At 53.7% G+C, this 18468-nt stretch overlaps 1 protein-coding gene and 1 long non-coding RNA gene across 18 annotated transcripts in view, besides 1 other annotated feature; one reads left to right on the top strand and one right to left on the bottom strand.

Annotated features, from left to right (window-relative positions):
• Nucleotides 1-409: 409 nt before the first annotated feature.
• Nucleotides 410-18468, bottom strand: part of RNF220 (ring finger protein 220) — a 246942-nt gene continuing 228883 nt past the window's right edge. For 7 of the 17 annotated variants that reach the window (XM_047424277.1, XM_047424269.1, XM_011541699.2 and 4 more), the window contains 9 exons: nt 16468-16589; nt 15972-16104; nt 7340-7436; nt 7053-7139; nt 6858-6913; nt 6646-6724; nt 2365-2473; nt 2177-2251; nt 410-1430 (listed from right to left, as the gene is read on the bottom strand). In XM_047424277.1, the coding sequence (XP_047280233.1) occupies nt 1359-1430; nt 2177-2251; nt 2365-2473; nt 6646-6724; nt 6858-6913; nt 7053-7139; nt 7340-7436; nt 15972-16104; nt 16468-16589 (830 nt within the window). In that variant the 3' untranslated portion in view covers nt 410-1358. Of the gene's footprint in view, nt 1431-2176; nt 2252-2364; nt 2474-6645; nt 6725-6857; nt 6914-7052; nt 7140-7339; nt 7437-15633; nt 16105-16467; nt 16590-18468 lie in introns of those variants that run through there. The other 10 variants (NM_001376486.1, NM_001376487.1, NM_001319957.2 and 7 more) reach the window with 4 other exon arrangements.
• Nucleotides 1269-1850: an enhancer, noted in NCBI's record as "H3K4me1 hESC enhancer chr1:45115956-45116537 (GRCh37/hg19 assembly coordinates)". NCBI's record gives its function as "activates a minimal SCP1, AML or CMV promoter by ChIP-STARR-seq in naive H9 embryonic stem cells {active_cell/tissue: H9 hESC(naive)}" and the evidence as "EXISTENCE:reporter gene assay evidence [ECO:0000049][PMID:30033119]".
• LOC107984950 (uncharacterized) lies at nt 2468-16896 on the top strand. Its single transcript, XR_001738031.2, has 2 exons — nt 2468-6774; nt 15677-16896. It is a non-coding gene; the product is annotated as an uncharacterized LOC107984950 (long non-coding RNA).

The raw sequence follows: 18468 nt of genomic DNA, 5'->3' as shown, positions 1-18468 counted from the left end.
TGTGGTCTCTGGTATGTTTCAGGGGACCAGAAAGGGATAGAGGCCTGGGGCTTGTGTTTGTACCCAAGCTTGTGGCCACTCCTAGCCTAGGTTGGGGGATAGAGCTTGCATCCCCTCTGTACCCCCAAGCTCTGACCTCTTCTGTGATTAATGAGCTGACGATTCTGCATCGATAAAGAATTAACCTAGAGCCCCTACCCATCAATAGTCAGGAGCCCAGATCCCCAGCCCCACCCCCCTCCAAACCAAATGCTCCACGGCCCCAGAGCAGACCAACCCTGCACAGTGTCATACACCTATAGCTAAGTCCTTTCCCCCATCCTGCCACCAGGAATTAACCCCTTAACTGCCTCAGCCCACCTCCCCTAGTTAGCTCCCCCACCACCCCACACACATAACACACAGGCAGCAACTGTTTATACTGGTTTAATCCATGTCAAATGTAGTTTACAAAGGGAAAGGACAAGTACCTTTGTATAGAATATACAGACACAGCATCACACCACAGGGCCCACGGGAGGGTCGGGGAGACGACACTTTTTCCCTGGGAAAGGCAGCTCTAATCCCAGGAATGGTTCTCAGCAGAGGCTGGGTGGCCAGGAGCACTGTCCTCTAGCCCCCTAACTCAGCCTCTGCTTCAGCTCGGTTCCCATTTCCTGCCTCTACCCCCCAACTCCTTATAAAGAGCCCCATGAGCTAAGACTAAGGAGAGGATCATGTCCCTTGGGGCGTGTGCCCCATGTCTGGGAGAAGAAATATACACCACTGAACACCGAGCACATGGGAGAGGGAAGGGACACCACAGGAGAGAGAGAGGCAGGTACCCCAAGAGGTGGATGGGCCGAGCTCCCAGCCAACCCTGAAGGAGGCGCTGCTTCCAGGGGTTCTTAAAAAAGAAGAAAATCATACAACCAAAGGGGGAGGGGACAGGTAGAGGGCGAGGAGTTGTCCCATTTATACACAACATTGTAAACATACACGGTCTATATTACATGTGCTTCAGTCTGGTGTTTGCATGTCTGTCTGTCCGTCTGTCAGTATGGGGGCTGGATCTTAGGAGCCGTGCCCCACTACTCCCCCAACCCCCACCTCCCTGCCCCACCCTGGGAACAGAGCTGGAACAGGTATGGCCCCCAAACCATAGGTGGGAGCCAGCAGGTAGTGCCTGGGCCACAGCCTCTACTCTGGCTCCAGAGTCCTGCGTGTGTAAATGTGTGTGTGTGTACGCATGTTTGAGTATGTGCATGTATGTACATGGGGAACCTGTGTGCAAGTATGTACAAAGGGAGACGGTCACTGTCACAGAGGCTGGGGGCAGGTGGGGCTGCTGGAGGCGAGGCCTGCCTGGGGCAGATAGCTCACAAGTAGATCCTCCGCAGGTCTCCGGGCGCTGTGATCGTGTTGCACTGAGGGCAGAGCTTCTTGGCACCCTGCAGGGAGAACAGGGAGGGCTCTGGTCTACACAATGAGCCATGTGTGCGCATGTGAGCACCTGGGCCTGCAGCCATGTCTCTCTGCACCAGTGTGTGCTGAGACCTTGGTCCTGTCAGCCCAGGCTGGGGACGCATAGGCAGCTTCTGTGAGCAGGCAGGCACGCTCCTGTGTTGGGGGGACGCCAGGATCAAACCGCCTGGCCAGCCCCGCAGCAGGAGCCCCAGTAATGAGAACAAGGCTGGGTCCAGCTGTGGCAGCCGCAGCCCTAACGAGATTACACGCGGCCTTTGATCAGGACACAGAGCCCACGTCCGAGCCTTTTATTACTGTCTCCGGGCGACATTTTAATGGCTGCTCCTGAGCGAAGAACAGGGGCAGGAGCAGAAGGAGCTTAGTAATGGGAGGGGGAGGGGCCAAGGCCCTGGTCCTGTTTACCTACAGCCAGCCTCCTCCTGACCCCAGGCCTCACCAGTCTGTGTGATGCAGTGGGCCTTCGGGGACCGGGGCGGGGAAGGGAGAATGCAGTGAACTCATGGAGGGGGAGAAGTTCCTAAACCTGCAGTTGGGGAGGAGAGGCAGCGAGCCTGGGGGTAAATATCCTGCGGGTAAATATCCTGGCTCCTGGCTCTGTTCTCCTTTGCGCCATGCTCCCCACTTCCCCCAGGCAGGCTCAGGCATAAGCACAGACATCTGGGCAGTGCCCGGAGCGGCCTCCCATTCCCCGACCCCCATGCCACCTCACCAGGGTCCGCAGCCAGCACTCCTCGCAGTGCACGTGCCAACACTGGATGGACGTTAGGGGCATCGAGTACGAGTCCTAGGGAGGAGGGGGCAGAGAAGGGGTCACTCTGAGGTAGGCCCACCCTCTCCAACTCCCCCAGAGGGCGTGGAAGCCTGACCAAGGGCACCCCTAGGTTCTTTTCTACTCACCATGCAGATGAGGCATTTGTAACGGTCCCCACGAGATAGCTGCCGTTCAAGTTCTCTGACCCGAGCCTTCAGAGCCTCAAACGTGGTCACAGCTGAATCTTCGGTGATTCTGTAAAAAGGAAGGCATGGTTGGGTAGCAGGCTGGCATCTCTCATCTGTACCTCCAGCCTACGCCTCCCTTGAATTCCAGAACCAAATACATAAATGTCCCCTAGGCATCCCTGCCTGCCCCCTTTCTCTGATAACCTGAATCTGCAAATTCCACATTCCAGAACTAAACTCCTCACCCTCTCTATTCCTCCATTCCCATTCGGATGAATTTCTACACCAGATACCAGGGAACCATTTTCAACCACTCCTTCGCAGTCTTCCCAACCACCCAAATCTGTCATCTCTCCTAGTATCTCCGGCATCTCTCCTCACCACCATGAGTCCAGGCTCTCAGATGTCTTCCACCAATTCCACCACTAACTTTTTCCAGACAGCCTTTCTGCCTCCAGGCCCCTCATCTCTATTCCACTCTCCCAGCGCCTAGAGGAATTTATGTTCTCAAAGCAAATCTCTCGTGGTGTGACTTCCAACATTCCAATGTCCCCCTTGGAGTAGAGAGCTCCACTACACTCCTTGGTCCAGCCCCAGCCCGCCGTACCCCTGAGGACCTTGCCACGCATTTTATGCTCGACTCCTATGTGTCACCATCCACGCCACCTTTTTCACTGCCTTGGCCTCTGCACTGTGATCCCTCTGCACCCCCTCGCCTGACTCACTAGCTCTGCCTCATCATTCAGATCTAGTTTTGTTCCCATGCCCTCCCAGAAGCCTTTTCCAGACCCCTGAGCCAGCACTGCACAGTGGCTCTCACAGCCCCCCGTGTGAACTCCACCACAGCAGTGTAAAGTTCCTGAGTATGGGTTCCCTGAGGGCGGGCTGCTCACTCCACCAATACTGACTATGGCCAAGAGCCCCACCTCAGGCATGGGACGTGAGCAAACACCTGCTGAAGAAAGGGCCCGTCCAAACTCCAGGGAGAGGGGGACAGATGCAGGGACTAGGCGTGTCCCACATGATCTAGGTCTCTTTGCCACAGCCCTGGCCTGCCTCCAGGGCTCCTTGTTACTTCCTAGATATATCAGATGCCCTGGTAGTCCTGTGTGTGGGCCAAGCCCTGCACCTGAAGGTCCCTCCTGCATTTCCAGGACTCCTTGGGCTGCACTGCTGAACAGGGAATAGCTAGGACTCTCTCAAGGAACCTTCCCACCCTCCTAAAACAAATGAACAGGATCCAGGGGAGCTCACAGATGGAGAAGAATGCTTCCTGGAAAAGTAGAAAAGATGGTATAGGAGACTGGCCTTAGGGAATAATAATGATAATACAAATAAAATAGCTAAAATTTATTAAGCACTTACTAAATGCCAGAGATTGTACTGAGGGATTGATAATTATCTTATTTACACCTTACAAAAACCCCATAAGATTCTAATATCTCCATTTTATATACAAAGAAACTAAAGCACAGAAAGATTAAGTAGCTTGCTCAAGGTCCCCACAGAGTCAGGGAGATGGGATTCAAACCTGGCAGACTGATTCCATGATCAACTAATAACTGTGTGATTGACCATGACTATACTGGCTACACCCAGGAGGAGGTGGGGCTCCAGGCCAAGGGAACAGCAGAAACAGAGGCCAAGAGGCCCAAGAGCCCAGTCTGGCTAGAAGGCCCACATGTAGGCAAAGTGCTACAGTAAGAAAGGAGATGGCATGCAAGAGGACCTCAAATGCCACACCTGAAGGAGCTGAAGTTTATCTCGTGGACAGCAGGAAGCTGCTGAGGATGCTGGAAGAGTGGGGGTACGAACAGCTCAGGTTTCACAGATGTACTCAATCAGGAAGCAGAGGCTGGACTGAGGCGGGGGAATCATAAGGGACGTGGACTTTGGGCAAGGACAGTCTCCTGGGGGCACCTGTTCTGCAGTTTAGGGGAGACAATTGGCTCAGGAAGCTTGAGAGCTTACAGGTGGCCTGTCATTGCTGGATGTGAGTGGTAATGGGAGTGCAGGGAGGGTAGTGGTCCCATTTCATGGGCAATACAACTTCAATCTCTGGCCTTTTTCCTTTGGGGAGCTAGCAGCAACACAGAGCGTGACTCCTTAGTGGCTGTGTCCTTGTATCAGGGACACTTAAATCCATCACCCTAGGGTCCATGATTCCCTCTGCCTTGCCTCTTTCCAGGGATGCCAAGAAAGGCTCTGACTCTTTCCTCCTGGTACTGGCTGATTCCCTGGGGGCTTCCATTTAGCTCTCTGGCTCTGGAAGCCTTTACCATCCCTTCCCTCCTCACAAGCCTCCGAACAGCAGGCTCCTTCCCTGGCATTTTGCACAATGCCATATGTGCCATCCCCATCTGGATTACAGGTAAATTCCTGATAAGGAGACAAGGATTTGTAGCTGTGCTCCCTTCCACTCCAAGGACTAAGCTGAGAATTTGCCTAGTCCTATATAGTTATGTCAAAGATGGGGAAACTAAGGCCTGCAGCTGGGGGCAGCCTACACCAGAATGGAGAACTAACTCCCAAACCCCAAATCAGAGAACTAGAGCTGGAATGGCAAAGAAGGATGAGGCCAGGAGAGAATGAAGCCATTTCCCATGCCATCTCCAAGAGCTACAAGGCCCCACTGAAGGCCAATAGCCAACTCCAGAGCCTACCTATCCTGGATGTGCTCAGCACACACCTGCCCTCCAATCTTGGCTCTGGCGAAATACCCAAGCCTCCAACCCCTGGTCCAGGCTGGCTGTGAGCTATTCCTGAGTCCCTCCAGGGCATGGGGTGGGGAGATTCCTGGAGGAGCCATGGCATCCTACCATTCCTTTTCCCTGAGTAGTAAAACAGATCTAGGGCAAGAAATAGAGAAATCACGGGGACTGATGGGCCCCAGTCTCAGCAGATCCAGACCCAGTGGAGAGCTCTGCACATGACTGAGCCAGTCTCCACCTCATCATAGAGATCCCTGCCTACGGGTGCCTGTGCTCACACAGGTGGGACAGAAATCCTGGCTCCCCCCAGCCTTGGGTGGGTTGTACCTTCATGGAAGCCACTGGCTCTGCCCCCACCTCCCCCTCGGGCGCCATCCCTGATTAATGATCTTGTCTTTCTGATTTATGAGCAGCCCCTCCAGACGAGGGTGGGTGCCCCTTACAACCCCGCCCGCCCTGCTCAGCTGGAGTAGGAGAGAATTATTAAATAAACATCCATACGTCATTCCTCCCCACCACAAGCTGGTTGCGCAGAACCCATACGGCCCGCTCCGGCGCTGACACGGAGCAGCTGCGGTGATTCATGGGCAGCCGGGCCCTGCGCCGCGGCCCATACATCATGCCAGCAGCACTCGCGGCCCCGGCCGAGATAAACTGATCAACCACAACGGGCTGGAATGAATTTATGACAACACAAAATGGAGGGAAACAAATGGGAGGTGACCCTGGGCCACCGACCCGGCCCTGCACCGGCCTCCAATCCACTCTCCTGGCAGGAGGCAAAGATGGAACACTGGCCCTGGAATGAAGAGGCTGCCTTTTAACCCCAGGCAACCTAGCCTGCAGTCAGAAGGTGGGGTGGGTACTGGAGTTAAGCAATGACCAATGGCAGCAGCACCAGGCAGCCTAGACTGGACAATGCCATCTCCTGAGGCCAGAACTGGCCTTCCTTGGGCTTCTGGGAAGGCAGGAAGATGCCCAGCTGATACCAAATCTTTGTGGTTCCCAGGGATCCAGGCCAGGGGTTGCTCAGCCCTGGGCAAAGTGCTAATGGATCCCTTTTCCTCTGCCAGAGAACCCAGGCCAAAAATTCCTACCAGAAGTGATGATACCCAATGTTCCTGCCTAAAATCCACTGCGAGTGCCACCCGGGACAAGAAAAATGAAACCAATTTAGCTCCCGATTAAGAAACAGAAACTGGAGATGAATCAAGTGTGCCGGCTGGGCTGGGCGGCCATACATCACATTCCCCGGGCGAAGGCCGCCGCAGCAGGCGGGCAGGCAGGCAGGCAGGCGGGTGGACTGCTCCTCCCACCGCCAAGGCTTCTGGGGCCGTGGCCCAGTGATCAATTCACAGAGTCACGCTTAGCACCAGCTGGGCTCCACTGCCGGCCGTGTGCCCAGGGCAGCAGCACTGAGCTGCACTTGGGAGGGCCAGAAGCCCTGGCAGCAGGCCTTCCTGCTAGCAAAGGGCCCCTCCTCCCACTGAACTGTGGTCCCAGGGCTCTCTCCTGGCCAAACACTTACTTCTCGATGTCGCTGTTCTTGCAGGTCTTCTGCATGGCCTCCTGCTTGCTGCTTTCACCATTGCTGGTGGATGGCATCTCTGCTGGGACAGAGGGGCAACTCACACTCCGGCCAGACTGGGCAGCACAGGTGAGGGGTTGGGCTTGAGTCAGTCACCACCATCTAGGGATACCCCCTCTCCCCCATTACTCCTAACCTGGGGCAGGACTTACCATCACTGGCCCATTTAGAGAACTCAGGTGTGATGCGCGTGCTGGGAGGGCCGCCACTGGAGGAAAGGAGGGAGGAAAAACAAAGTGAGGCCTGAAGGCGGGCAGGACAGCCCTGAGGGTCAGTACTGCGTTAACCCCTGCCTCAGGGCTTCCTGTTTCTCTGCTCCACCCGCCCAAGCCTGTGCCCACACTTGCTTTAGGACTGCGCCCCGAAGTGCCTCTCTCTCCTTGGCTTCACCAGGCTCCTCGCCTGTGCAGGGGATGACATCAGCCTCTGTGTATCTGGCATGGTGGTCAAGGACAATGGATCCTAGTTTGCAGCAGGCTATGAGGGTTGAATCCTCAGGAGAGCATGGCCCTCCTGGCCAAAGCTGAGACTCTGGCCCGGGGGGTGGTGCAGGTGAATACTAGAAGAGCTACTTTTCTTATTCCCTGTGCCTGCCCTATCAGCCCCACCAGCCCCCATAGTGCTCCAAGGATACTGTGGCTTCCCATACTCCAGAGTGTCATCCCCATCCACATCCAAGTCAGCATCACTGTCCGGGTTCTCTTTGCCGCTGCACATGATGAAGCCAGAGCCTGTGGGAAGCAGGGTGTGAGGAGGGCCTGGGGACAAGACGAGGCCAAGGGTGCCCCTCCTGTTGCCTCCAGGTAGGGGTTAGGCTTTGGACCTGATAAGGCCCAGAGGGAAACCTGGGCCTGGGATGTATAGAGCCAGATACTTCAGTGCCCCTGACCCTGACATTTCAGGCCCTTCACTCTGCAAACCTCATCTTTCTCTGCTACTGCATGCTGCTCCAAGTGGTCTCTGCTCATAAACTAGCCCATTCATATATTATGTCACGTCCTCGGGGACACTCAGCCCAGGCCTGCTGTCCACCTATCTTCCAGGTCTAGGAAGAACAGTAAGAGGACAGAAAAATTCAGGTCTAGGAATTTCACAGGAAAAGAGTGGGGCCTCCCCTATGCCCCATTATCCAGCCTGACAAGTCCATCAGAGGAGAGAACAGGCTGGCTAAGGCCAATCAGAGCCACAGAGTGGGACCCCCGGCCAACATCCTGATTTTGGCCGCTAGGTCCTTGCCAGCAAAAACACCAGGCAGCTGTTCAAATATTTGGTGTCTGAAGCGCCTGACATTAATTATTCATCTCCACCTCACTCAGCCCAGATTCCTGGACAAGTGCAGTTATAAAGGGATTAAGAAGGGACAGACGAGGGAGGACAGGCATGCACACCTACTTCTCAAAGCAGTCCATGAAGGCAACCAGGCTGAGCGGAGGCCAGGCCATGGGCCACGCAAGTGGCTGACCCCTGAGGTGCATCTGGCACAGCCACAGACGGACTCTCAGCTCAGAGGGAGGGGCGAGCTGCTGGGGCTACACCAGGCCTGCTCACCTGCCAGGCGATCTCTCTGACATCCAGGACCACCCTTCCTGATAGCCTAGGGTCAAGTGCTATAGAGCTGTTCCCCCCAGCTCCCCACTTCCTCCTAGTGGGTCTCAGACCACACCTCACTAGCCAGCACAGCCCTGCCAGGGACAAAAGAATGTGAGACTCTGTGGCTACTGGGATCAGCAAGGAAATCCTTAAAGAAGTGAGGAAGCAGCTTAGTATCTGCCTGATGATTTCAGACATTTCTGCTTGTCCACTCTTTCCTCTCAGGTCCTTATACTCTCATTAGGGTATGTCTTGTAGGGAGTCCTCAGGCCTCTTATCTGTTCCTTCATTCTGCTTACCACTGAGTTCTGACCACCTTTCCTCCTGCTCCAAAACCATTGATGGCTCCCCACTGCATGCACAACCAAGCCCAGGCTCCTCAGCCAGATCCATGAAGATCTGGGTCCATTTATGTCTTTACTCTTGCTCTCTACTAATTCACTCTGTAAACCCCAAGCATGTGCACACACAGGCTGCTCACCAAACCACAAACATAGCCTGTATATGCTGCTCTTAAGACCCCTGCTCATGCTATTCACTCCATCTGGAATGTTCTCCATTTTTCAAGCCCTGAAAAACACTGAGTCTTGATCCTTCTCCCTTCTACCCCACCAGTCTCTGGTCTCACAAAGACACCACCAATCCCAAAGGCAAGCAGCATCGGGAAGGAAAGATGCCAGGCACAGCCTGCAATCCACCTCTCCCTGACAGTCCTCATTTGCCCTCTACCCTGAGGCACTGACACACTTGAGGCAGCAGGCAGGTCAGGTCAGCAGCAGGGCCATTAAGCTGAGAAAACACCAAGTTACAGCTCTGTCTCCTGTACACGGCCAGGTGTCCTGACAAGCAATTCCCGCCTTGTGGGTGAGTGGCACCTCCATAAACCCTCTGACAGTTTGGGAGACAAACTCCACCATCAATCAGAATGTAGCTATCAGGTTCACTTACAGCTTGCGGCACCCAAGTCCTGCCAACCCCCCTTCCCCAAGTACACGCAGCTCAGCAGCTGGCCTCACATCTTCTGCTCGGCCTGGCCCTGCCTAGCCCTGCCTTATAAGTGGAAAGCAGAGAACCCTGGCACCACATGTGAGCCCAATATGGCTCCATGGCAAAGCAGAGAAAACAGGGTACCCCAAAGCTGCCAGGAAAAGCCCCAGCTTCTCAACGCAGAAAGCAGCCCTGTAGCCTGAAGTCCTTTTCTCTGTAGTCTTACTGCCCACCATGCCTGGCCCAGGACTCATACTCCATTAAACAGAGCTACTGTGGTCTCCCAAATCCTGTGCTTTCTCATGCCCCCATGCCTCCGCACCTCCTGCTCTCTGCCTAGAACCTTCTCCCTCCTGGTCTACAATATACATGCCTGCTCCTTTGGCAAGTCTGACTCAGCCCAACCATGCCTCCTACCATTAACTCACAGTGCCCACACAGAGCAGCTGCTCTCTAAATCCCTGCTAAAGGAAAGAACTCTCACCTCAATGCCATTCTTTCAACCTTTATTGGGCTCATCCTCTGTTTGGCTCCATGTTGAGAATAGAGAGCTTCAAGATCTGATCCCTATCCTCATGGTGCTCTGCGTGGCAGATGGGGCTTCCCACGTTCTTATACACAGGTGTCCCTTCCCTGGTGTCCACCCAGAATCCTGTGTAACTCCAAAATCATATTTATTACCACCTATTGTCACTGTCCCTCACCAGAGTGGAAGCTGCAAGGGTCCCAAGTTTGACTCACTGTTGTGATCTCAGCATCACCCAGCAGAGCTGGCCAGGCTGATGGCTGGTGCCACACAGCACACCCCAGCAGTACTGGCTAAACACTGGCGACACTGCTCTATTAGGTCCTAGTTAGCTGGTGGCCTAGAGAAATCTCTCAGGATACAACTTTCCTTATCAGATCCCAGCTCCCAGCCGGGCAGCAGCTTTCTGTTCCGCTGGCCAGTGAGGCAGGATGGACAGCACGACACACTTTGTTTGCCAAAGAAAAGGCCTCTGCCTCTGGTCTGAGCCATTCACTCTGACCCTGACCCCATCCTCCAGCTGAGACAGATGTTGGGAACCTCTCCCTACCCCCACAGGTGTTCAGAACAGGCTGCTGCTGCCAATTTCACTCTTGTGCTGCCCCAGCCTGCTCCAACCTCTTTCCCAGCACATTAAACTTTATTTTCTTAATGAAATGTCACTTGCTGACTTCTGGCAGAATCATAATAAAAAGAAACGGCCATAAAGCCGTTTTATGCAGACAGCGCCCCCGCCAGCTTGCCCCCCCTCCCGCTTGGAGAGGAAGGCTCCACAGTCGTTTGATGTTCTCAGCTGCTGGAATATCCCAAGCCAGTACTCAGAGGCAAGATGGCACAGACAGCTCCTTTCCAAGTCTCTGGCTCCTCTTCCATGTAGCTCCAGCGATAACAGGCAAGCTGCCACTCCTACTACTGCTATCTAGGGAAGGAACTCAGCCCCCAGGACCTCCAAGATGGCCCAGAGTACCCTTCAGTCACCAGGGAGGGCCTCTTGCTACAGTTCTGCCCCAGCTTAAAGTGGCATAAAGGCCTGAGCCCCCACCCATAGGCAACCTAAGCCTGATGGTCAATGATACCCAGCAGGGTGGTGCCAGAGTTGTCCATTCCTGGCGGGGTGGGTAGTGCAAAAAAAAATATCCTTCTCCTCACAGTGAAAACTGAGCAACAAAGAGGGAGAGAGTTAAGTGCAGAAATGAAACACAGGTCTACGTTTTATAAAAACGACCCTTCTCCCATAAACTCATTTCTTCCTGGGTTATTGAGAAGGGAGAAAAAAAAAATCAGTGTTAATTTAATCAATTGATCAGATGATCGATTGAGAAACTGGAGATGCCCGTTTACTGGGGGCAGTATCGTCCTGGAACCTGAAACCACAAAAAAGGAGGCATCGATTTCCTCACCTGCTGCTCCCAACAAAACCAGAGCCCAGGGAGAAAGGAAACGTCTCGGGGCCCTCCAGGGGCCTGTGCTCTCCAACACGGAGGGCAGGGGCAGCAGCTTCCGGCGAGTTTTACACTGGAATTAGTTACAGATGCAGTTACGGTGTCTTGTGTAAACGCCATCGATTGGGGAGCTGACAGTCTGGGGAGCTGCGATGCGGGACAATCAATCGGCCTGCAGTGTCACCTGCCACCTCGCTGAACAGTTGACAATGCAATTATCCAGTGTGGAGGCAGGGAGTTGGCGTGTGTCAAACGCACTTAGCCACTTTCCGGGCCTCCTCGATAACGCGTTTCACTGCCTCACGTCAGGAGAGACGCAGAGAGACAGACGCCGTTTAAAACCATTGATACTTGCTCCTTCTGCCTGCACTCCCTCTGTCCTAGCTTAACAATTGTGTTCCAAAAGGCGATTAAATCCCATCAGTTGCCACGGGGGACAGAAGGTGCCTTGCTCCTTGCCACCTCTCCTCACCCCTCCCAACAGGCGACAGAGAGAACTAAAGATGGTAGGGAGTCACAAGGCAGCAGCCCAACCCTCTCCACTCCAAGACCGCCTCCAGCAGTGTGCTGTTCCAACACCTGTCACTGGCTGGACCAACAGCAGAGCTGCACTGGGGGACATTTTTAGCACCTGGGGCTCCCTTCTTTTGAGAACTAGCACACCAAAGAAGGCAGCAGCTAGGGCAAGGCCTATGTGCCCATGCCCTGGGGCTTACAACACCTCTTACCCCCTTGCCCCATACTTCTGGCGCTGAAGTTTTATCAAGAAATAGCCAGATAAAAGATTTGTGCCAGGCCGGGTGTGGTGGCTCATACCTGTAATCCCAGCACTTTGGGAGGCCGAGGTGGGTGGATCACCTGAGGTCAGGAGTTCAAGACCAGCCTGGCCAACATGGTGAAACCCCGTCTCTACTAAAAATACAAAAATTAGCTGGTTGTAGTGGCACATGCCTGTAATCCCAGCTACTCGGGAGGCTGAGGCAGGAGAATCTCTCGAACCCAGGAGGTGGAGGTTGCAGTGAGCCGAAATCGTGCCACTGCACTCTAGCCTCCAGCCTGGGTGAAAAAGTGAGACTCTGTCTCAAAAATAAATAAATAAAAAGGAAAAGAAAAGAAAAGAAGAGAAAAGATTTGTGCCACAGCTGCTCTGCCTGTTTGCTTCATGACTTCTCATCCAGCTACTTGGAACCGGCTTAAATGTAAGGAACTCATGAAAGATAAGAAACGCTTCAGGCCAGGACCTGAGCAGGACAAAGACCCTGCACTGCTGACTGTCTTAACACCCTTCTTTTCCCTACCCACTCCTCCTGTTTGGTTCAGAGGGGCTTCATGCTGGATTTTAGCAACGCAGTCACCGCCAGGGCTTAAAGATACAGCTGCAGGCTTCCATTTCCTGTGAAGCTTCCTGGGAAATTTCTCCATCTCACCACTCTTGTGCCCACATCATTGCCACCTTATTTGAAACCAATCATTCCCATGTCCTCTTTCCAGCATGTCCCTTCCAGATGTGAGGAGCTCTGGGCTCCCCAATGCAGTTGGGTGAACTCTCACTGGCAACCAACACACAGGAGGGACCATGGTTCACCACTATAGGTCTCTTCTCCAGGATCCAGGAGCTGGATGGAGGACAGGAGAGGAAAGGCATGGCTCCTTAGTCACACACCTCCTTAGACTACAGGTGGAAGCAGGCTTGTCTTAAGGGCTGTATAGTTAGGTTCCCCTGTAGTCTGCTTCTCTAGCCTAGAAGCCCCTTGCTCTGCCCAGGTTTGGCATGGTACCCAAGAAAAACATCTTTTCTCCCTAACTGCGGATCTCTTTTAGTGGAATGTTGGTGGCGCACTAGGCTCTGTGTGCTGTCCTTTATGTAAAGAGCAGTAGCAGGTTAGAAAATCTATGGTTCTGAAAGGACAATCAACAACTTAGACACACAGCTTAAGTATTTCTTCTAGAATTGGGAAGGTCAGAGTGCCTCCTAGGCAGCAAAAATTCCTTCCAACTTACTTTCTTGAAGTAATACCTATTTCCTTTAGTCTTTTCAAAAATCTGTTTCCAGTGGGACCTACCTCAGTGCTCACCTGCTCTGTCTGCTTCTTTATTTTGTCCTAAAATATCAATCCGAGTACTCCCAGGCCTGAGATATCTGGAGCTCCTCCTCAGTAACCACAGGTCCCCATCTCTAAGGCCTGTTGCCCTCAGCCAAGTGTCTCCACCGAAACTCTTGCCCGTTCACTGCTTCCCACAGCAGATTACATTTGAGGTAACCGATCTGATCCATCAGACCAACCTCCAGGGGCCTGGTGGGAAGCTTTGCTGAGGATGAAGAAGAGGCCCTACTCTGGGAGGAGGGATGGGGGTGATCGGATACAGGAACTTATCTGCAATTCTTCACTTCTTTCATATCTAACAACGACAGCAATCTCTGTTCTGTCAGCACGCACAGCGCAGTTTAAATGGGCCTCGCCACTCGCCTGCTCATCCTGCCTCTGCCTCCTTCTCTCTGAAGTCTGCTGGGCAGCTTCTTCAGCTGGCGTTATCACTCCCTCTAACCGGTCTTGGCAGGCAATCTAATTCCTCCTGAAAAGGTCACCGCCATTTTAACTGCCTTTCAATCACATTAAGCACGCGCTGCCCGGCTTGCAGCCCGGCCCGCCCGGCGGGCGATCAATGCGCTGCACTGACACCAGCCCGCCTGGCGAGGCCACACCCAACCCCCCAAGAGTTAGGGCCTATCAGTCCTGGCCAGGGAGGGTAGGCTGACAGATGGCCAGCTTTTGCAGACAGGGTTTTGGGGGCAGAGGCAGTAGGGATCAGCCAGGGCCTCCCTTTGATAGCCCCCCCACTGAGGAGCCTCAGCCTCCTCCGCTCCACTGCGCCCCGCTCTCTGCCTCGTGGCCCCCGCTGATCTCGCTGTAAAACAGCCTTTCAAGTCTGCCTGTCTTTTGACTGCACTAAGCTGTTTAAGAGGCGGCAGCAGCTTCTATCAGGAAAGCTGGAGCAATTCTCTGCAGATAAAGGCACCTCCGGCCCCTGTTCCCTCTTCAAGTCTCACTCTCATTCTCGCTCTCCAAATCGCTCAAAGAAAAGCCCCCTTTGAACTCCCCTCAGGAATTCTTGAAAGGAACAACCTCACAGTGTAAACACTCAGGGAAAACGGATACCCGCCCGGGGCCTAAGAGCCCCTCACACTGCTGTGCAAGTGCATCCCGGCACAGGGGAAATACTCTTGTCAAATCAGCAGGCCCTTTGCAGCTTTATCCTCCATAAGCCCTGTCTGGTGCCCAGAAGCCATCAGGTCCAGGTCTGTGCCAAGGAACCTAAGAAGGTGCCACAGCAATGGAGGATGTGAGCAGTTGCAGCTGCCAACAGAGCTAACCAGAGCAGCACGTTGAAACTGACCCTGTGTGGCTGCCATCGGACACCCATGTGTCCAACTCATGGGACAGTCGTCAGCCCTGCTGCTCACTCTTCTAGGGCCTCAGATACTCGAAGGCTCCAGTACGGGATGAGTGAAATGGCAAACTAACACTCTCCAGCTCCGGCTCAGGGAGACTGTTTGGTCTGACTAACCTTCCTGATTTATGTTTTGGCTTGCCCCCAAACACCTGGGTAATGTGAGAGACGCCCAGAGGCATAATGTCTCATCTGGGCTCTTAGCCCCTTCGTGGAACCAGTCTGCACTGGACGGCCCTGCAGAGACCACTCCTCAGCATCTGCCCAGGTAGCACGGCCCCACGAAGGCAGAGAACTTCTTCCCAGCTGCTGTGAGATTCCCCAGGGACCATACACAGCAGTATTCCCAAAGGTGTTGCCCAGAGAGAGAGGCAGACGGGAAGCAGATTGGCTCACTTAATGACCACAAGCTGCAGTACCAGCTGTGCTTGTGCACAGAAAGAGAGAAGAGCTGGAGGCCAAGAGGCAGACAGCTCCCCTTTTCCCCTGCCCAAGGCTGGGGAGTTTAACAAGTCACTAACCCTGGGCACCCAACCAATTCTGCTGTCTGACCTGGTGGGGGGTGTCAAGCCTTGCTCTTCCAAGGAGCTGGGAGGGCACTGGAGATGGGCAGGGCCCTGCACACTCCTTTGTAGCAACTGGGGAGAGCCCAAGGGAAGGAGGGAGCAGCTGGGCCCAGGCCCCTCTTGCTTCAGGGCAGAGGGCGCCCAGGGAGAAGGGATGGGATCAGAGCTAAAATTAGATTCACCAATGAAGCTCATGGGAGGTCAAATTTTGCCATAACTCACTCTCCTCTGTAACTGATTTCCCTGACATAGGGCTGAAGAGGAGGAGGAGGAAAATCCAATGTGTTTGCCTGGAAGCCCTCAGGGCCCCCAGTGCTGGAGGTGTACAGCAGGTTGCTGGATTCTCATTTATCAGCCTTAAGAGGGATGGAGTGATAAATGCATAACCGTCCCTTTAATATTTTATGCAGGTGCTAACGCGGCTTGGCTGTCACCTTCAATGCATCACCCGAAGCTGAGAGCCCCCCTTCGTCACTCCTAGCTTGCAGCCTCACAATTCCATTTCCCCACCCAAATACATCCATTTTAATATGCACATCACAGGCAGGCAGCACGGTCACAAAGGAGCCCCACCAGCAGCAGTCCCCACGTGGTGGAACGGATGGATGACCAGCCACCAGCCTCGGCCTCTTGGCTTCCAGCAGATGGATACCCAGCAGAGGCCTGGCACCAGAGTGCCAATGTCTACGTGTCAGCTGCTTGTACCTCGGAAGCCACCTTCCAGGAGAGTGGTGGCCCGTATCCGCTTCTGTCCACACCACTCATACTCCTCAAAGCGGTTGTTGTTCTCATGCTCGATGTCCACAGCATCATCCTCAGCCATGCAGGAGCCTTCCCTCTGTGAAGAGCAGAGCAGGATCATGCTGGGCCCAGGCCATCCCCACCTGCTCCCCACAGTCTGCAACGAAGGCACAGCTCTAGCCCCAGCTGTGGTGTGCCAAGTGGGCCCTCAGCTCTAGGGCTCCTTTGAAGCAAACCAATTTAGAGGTCAAAGACCTGGGCCTCTTCCCAATAGTTTTCCGCTGGAGCCCAAGGAGGGAATGAGTGAGAGTGAAAGCAAAAGGAGAGAGCAGTGGTCAGAAGGGAAGAAGCTGCTGAGACCACATGGAGACCCCAAGAGCCCACAGATTCAGGGGCAGTCAGCAGCTAGTGTCGGGGGAAGGGAGCGGGGAAGGAAGGTGGGTGGTGATGGCCCCTCTACCTTAGAAAGGCAATGCTCCACATGCCTACTCATCTCCTGCTCCGATCCTGCCAGGGGGCGGTTGCACAGGGGACATACCTGCCCTTCATCTTGCTTCCTCCGTTTCATTTTCCCAATCCGAGCTGCACGGGGAAACCGAAAACAAAGCACAGAACAAGCAGACGGTCACTGCAGCCCCCAGGGTCCCAGTGGAGCTGACACATCCTGACCTCTTGCCAGCCATTGGCCTTTTTATTCAGTGCCTGATCTGGCCCTCATCTTGAAATACCTCCTGCTCCTTTGGGGACTGGGCTTTGCCAAGAGCACCTGGGGAGGAGACTGGTGCTAACTAAGCCAGTGAGTAAGTCCACTCTTTGGCTGCAGCTGGTGCAAGGTCTACCCATACCTTTCTATTTGCAGTGTTTAATAAAAATCCAGTGAGCAAAGACACTCCATGTTGCTAGGTATCTCTCCAGAAGGCCAAGACCATGAACTCTTTTGGTGTCAGGAAATACAACTCTAAAGAGCATCTCTTGACTAGAACCTAACCCCTCCGATGGCCTGACTTGGCCTGCTGTTCACTCATCAGCTAAATCCTCTTTGGTTCCTGGGCCAAGAGCCCTGAGGTACAGCTCCTAGCATCCCACCTAGAATCTTATCAGGAAGAATTTCTCTGAGGTCCACTAATCCCATTTCACAGAAGAGGAGACTGAGGCCCAGTCATAAAGGTAAGACGGTCTGGGTCAGACCTTTGGCAGCCAGGTCAGAAGGCTCAGGGAACCCTGAGAAGGCAGCCCTTATTGTGCCCACCCGAACCTGTTCCATCATTTCTAATCAGTACAGAGGGGCTGGCAGGCCCTGGAGGCAGAGGGCTGCCTGCCATGTTGTCCCACAGGGGGCTCAGTTCCAAAGTGCACACTGCAAGCCCACAACACTGCTAATTAATGCTGAGCAATGCAATCATTTCTAATTAGCTCACTAATCCCTCTCTGTAGCCCTCCTGTCACTGAAGCAGGAAGGGGTCAAAACAAGAAACTCTCTTCCCTCTAGTCCCTTCCAGAATGCCACAGCAGGATCAGAGATGGCTACTCTGGGACCAGACTGATGGGGAGTGGGGAGAGCCAGCAAAGGAGGGAAAGGTTCCCCAAAGCAGGGCCAGGAAGAACTTTCTCATGGACAGTGACCCTAACGGGAAGCTCATGAATGCAATCTAGGAGGGGAACACAGGTGAGAGCTGCTATGTTACAATTTAAGCTTCTACCGTGTGTCAGGCTCACAGCCAAGTACCTTACCCAAGGTAGCTCATTTACTACCACTTGCTGAAGCTAGATTGCATTATCCCATTTTAACAGATGAAGAAACCCAAAGCTTAGAGAGATCAAGGTACGTGTCCAAGTAGCTAAAAAGTGGCAAAGGCAAGATAGGAAACCAGAACTGACTTCACAACCTAGAATGCCCTCCTGTTTCAAGGGGACCTCCTAACTGAGCAGCATCAACAAAGACTGGTCCCAGTGAGTGTGCTAGGGCTCCAGCTCCTGCCTGTTGTGAGCCTGAGGCAGGGAGCTACTCCAACTCCAAAACAGAGCAACCCCAGAAAGACCCAAACCAAAAGGAAAGCTACCATCCTGCCAGAACTGGGCATGGAGTTTGAGGAAACTTGGTCTGTAGCCCAGTCCATCTCTTCACTTTCCTGTGTCTTCACTATAGGTGACATGACTGTGTCCTAGTGCCTCACTTGACTTTGTGGACACAGATCGAGAACTCTTCATTTTGGCTGCCCTAACTCTTGGAATCTCAGACTTAGGTAGCCTTGACACTCTAGAGCCAGGGCTGGGATGGAGAATGGACGTGAAACATCAGAAAGGCATTGAGCAAAGGACCCTGAGAGTTCTAGAAGTGTAGTAAGGAGCAGTGTGCCAACACAAAGCTTCCTCCCTACCATGCCTACACCAAGGGAATGCCTCCCTGGGGAAGAAGGTGCTGATGATACCACAATGTTCAATGACTAAGGAAACGAATCTC

This window comes from Homo sapiens, chromosome 1 (genome assembly GCF_000001405.40).
Source record: "Homo sapiens chromosome 1, GRCh38.p14 Primary Assembly".
NCBI classification, from domain to species: Eukaryota; Metazoa; Chordata; class Mammalia; order Primates; family Hominidae; genus Homo; species Homo sapiens.
The sequence above is the reverse complement of the archived record's forward strand: the minus strand, read 5'-3'. Positions and strand labels throughout refer to the sequence as shown.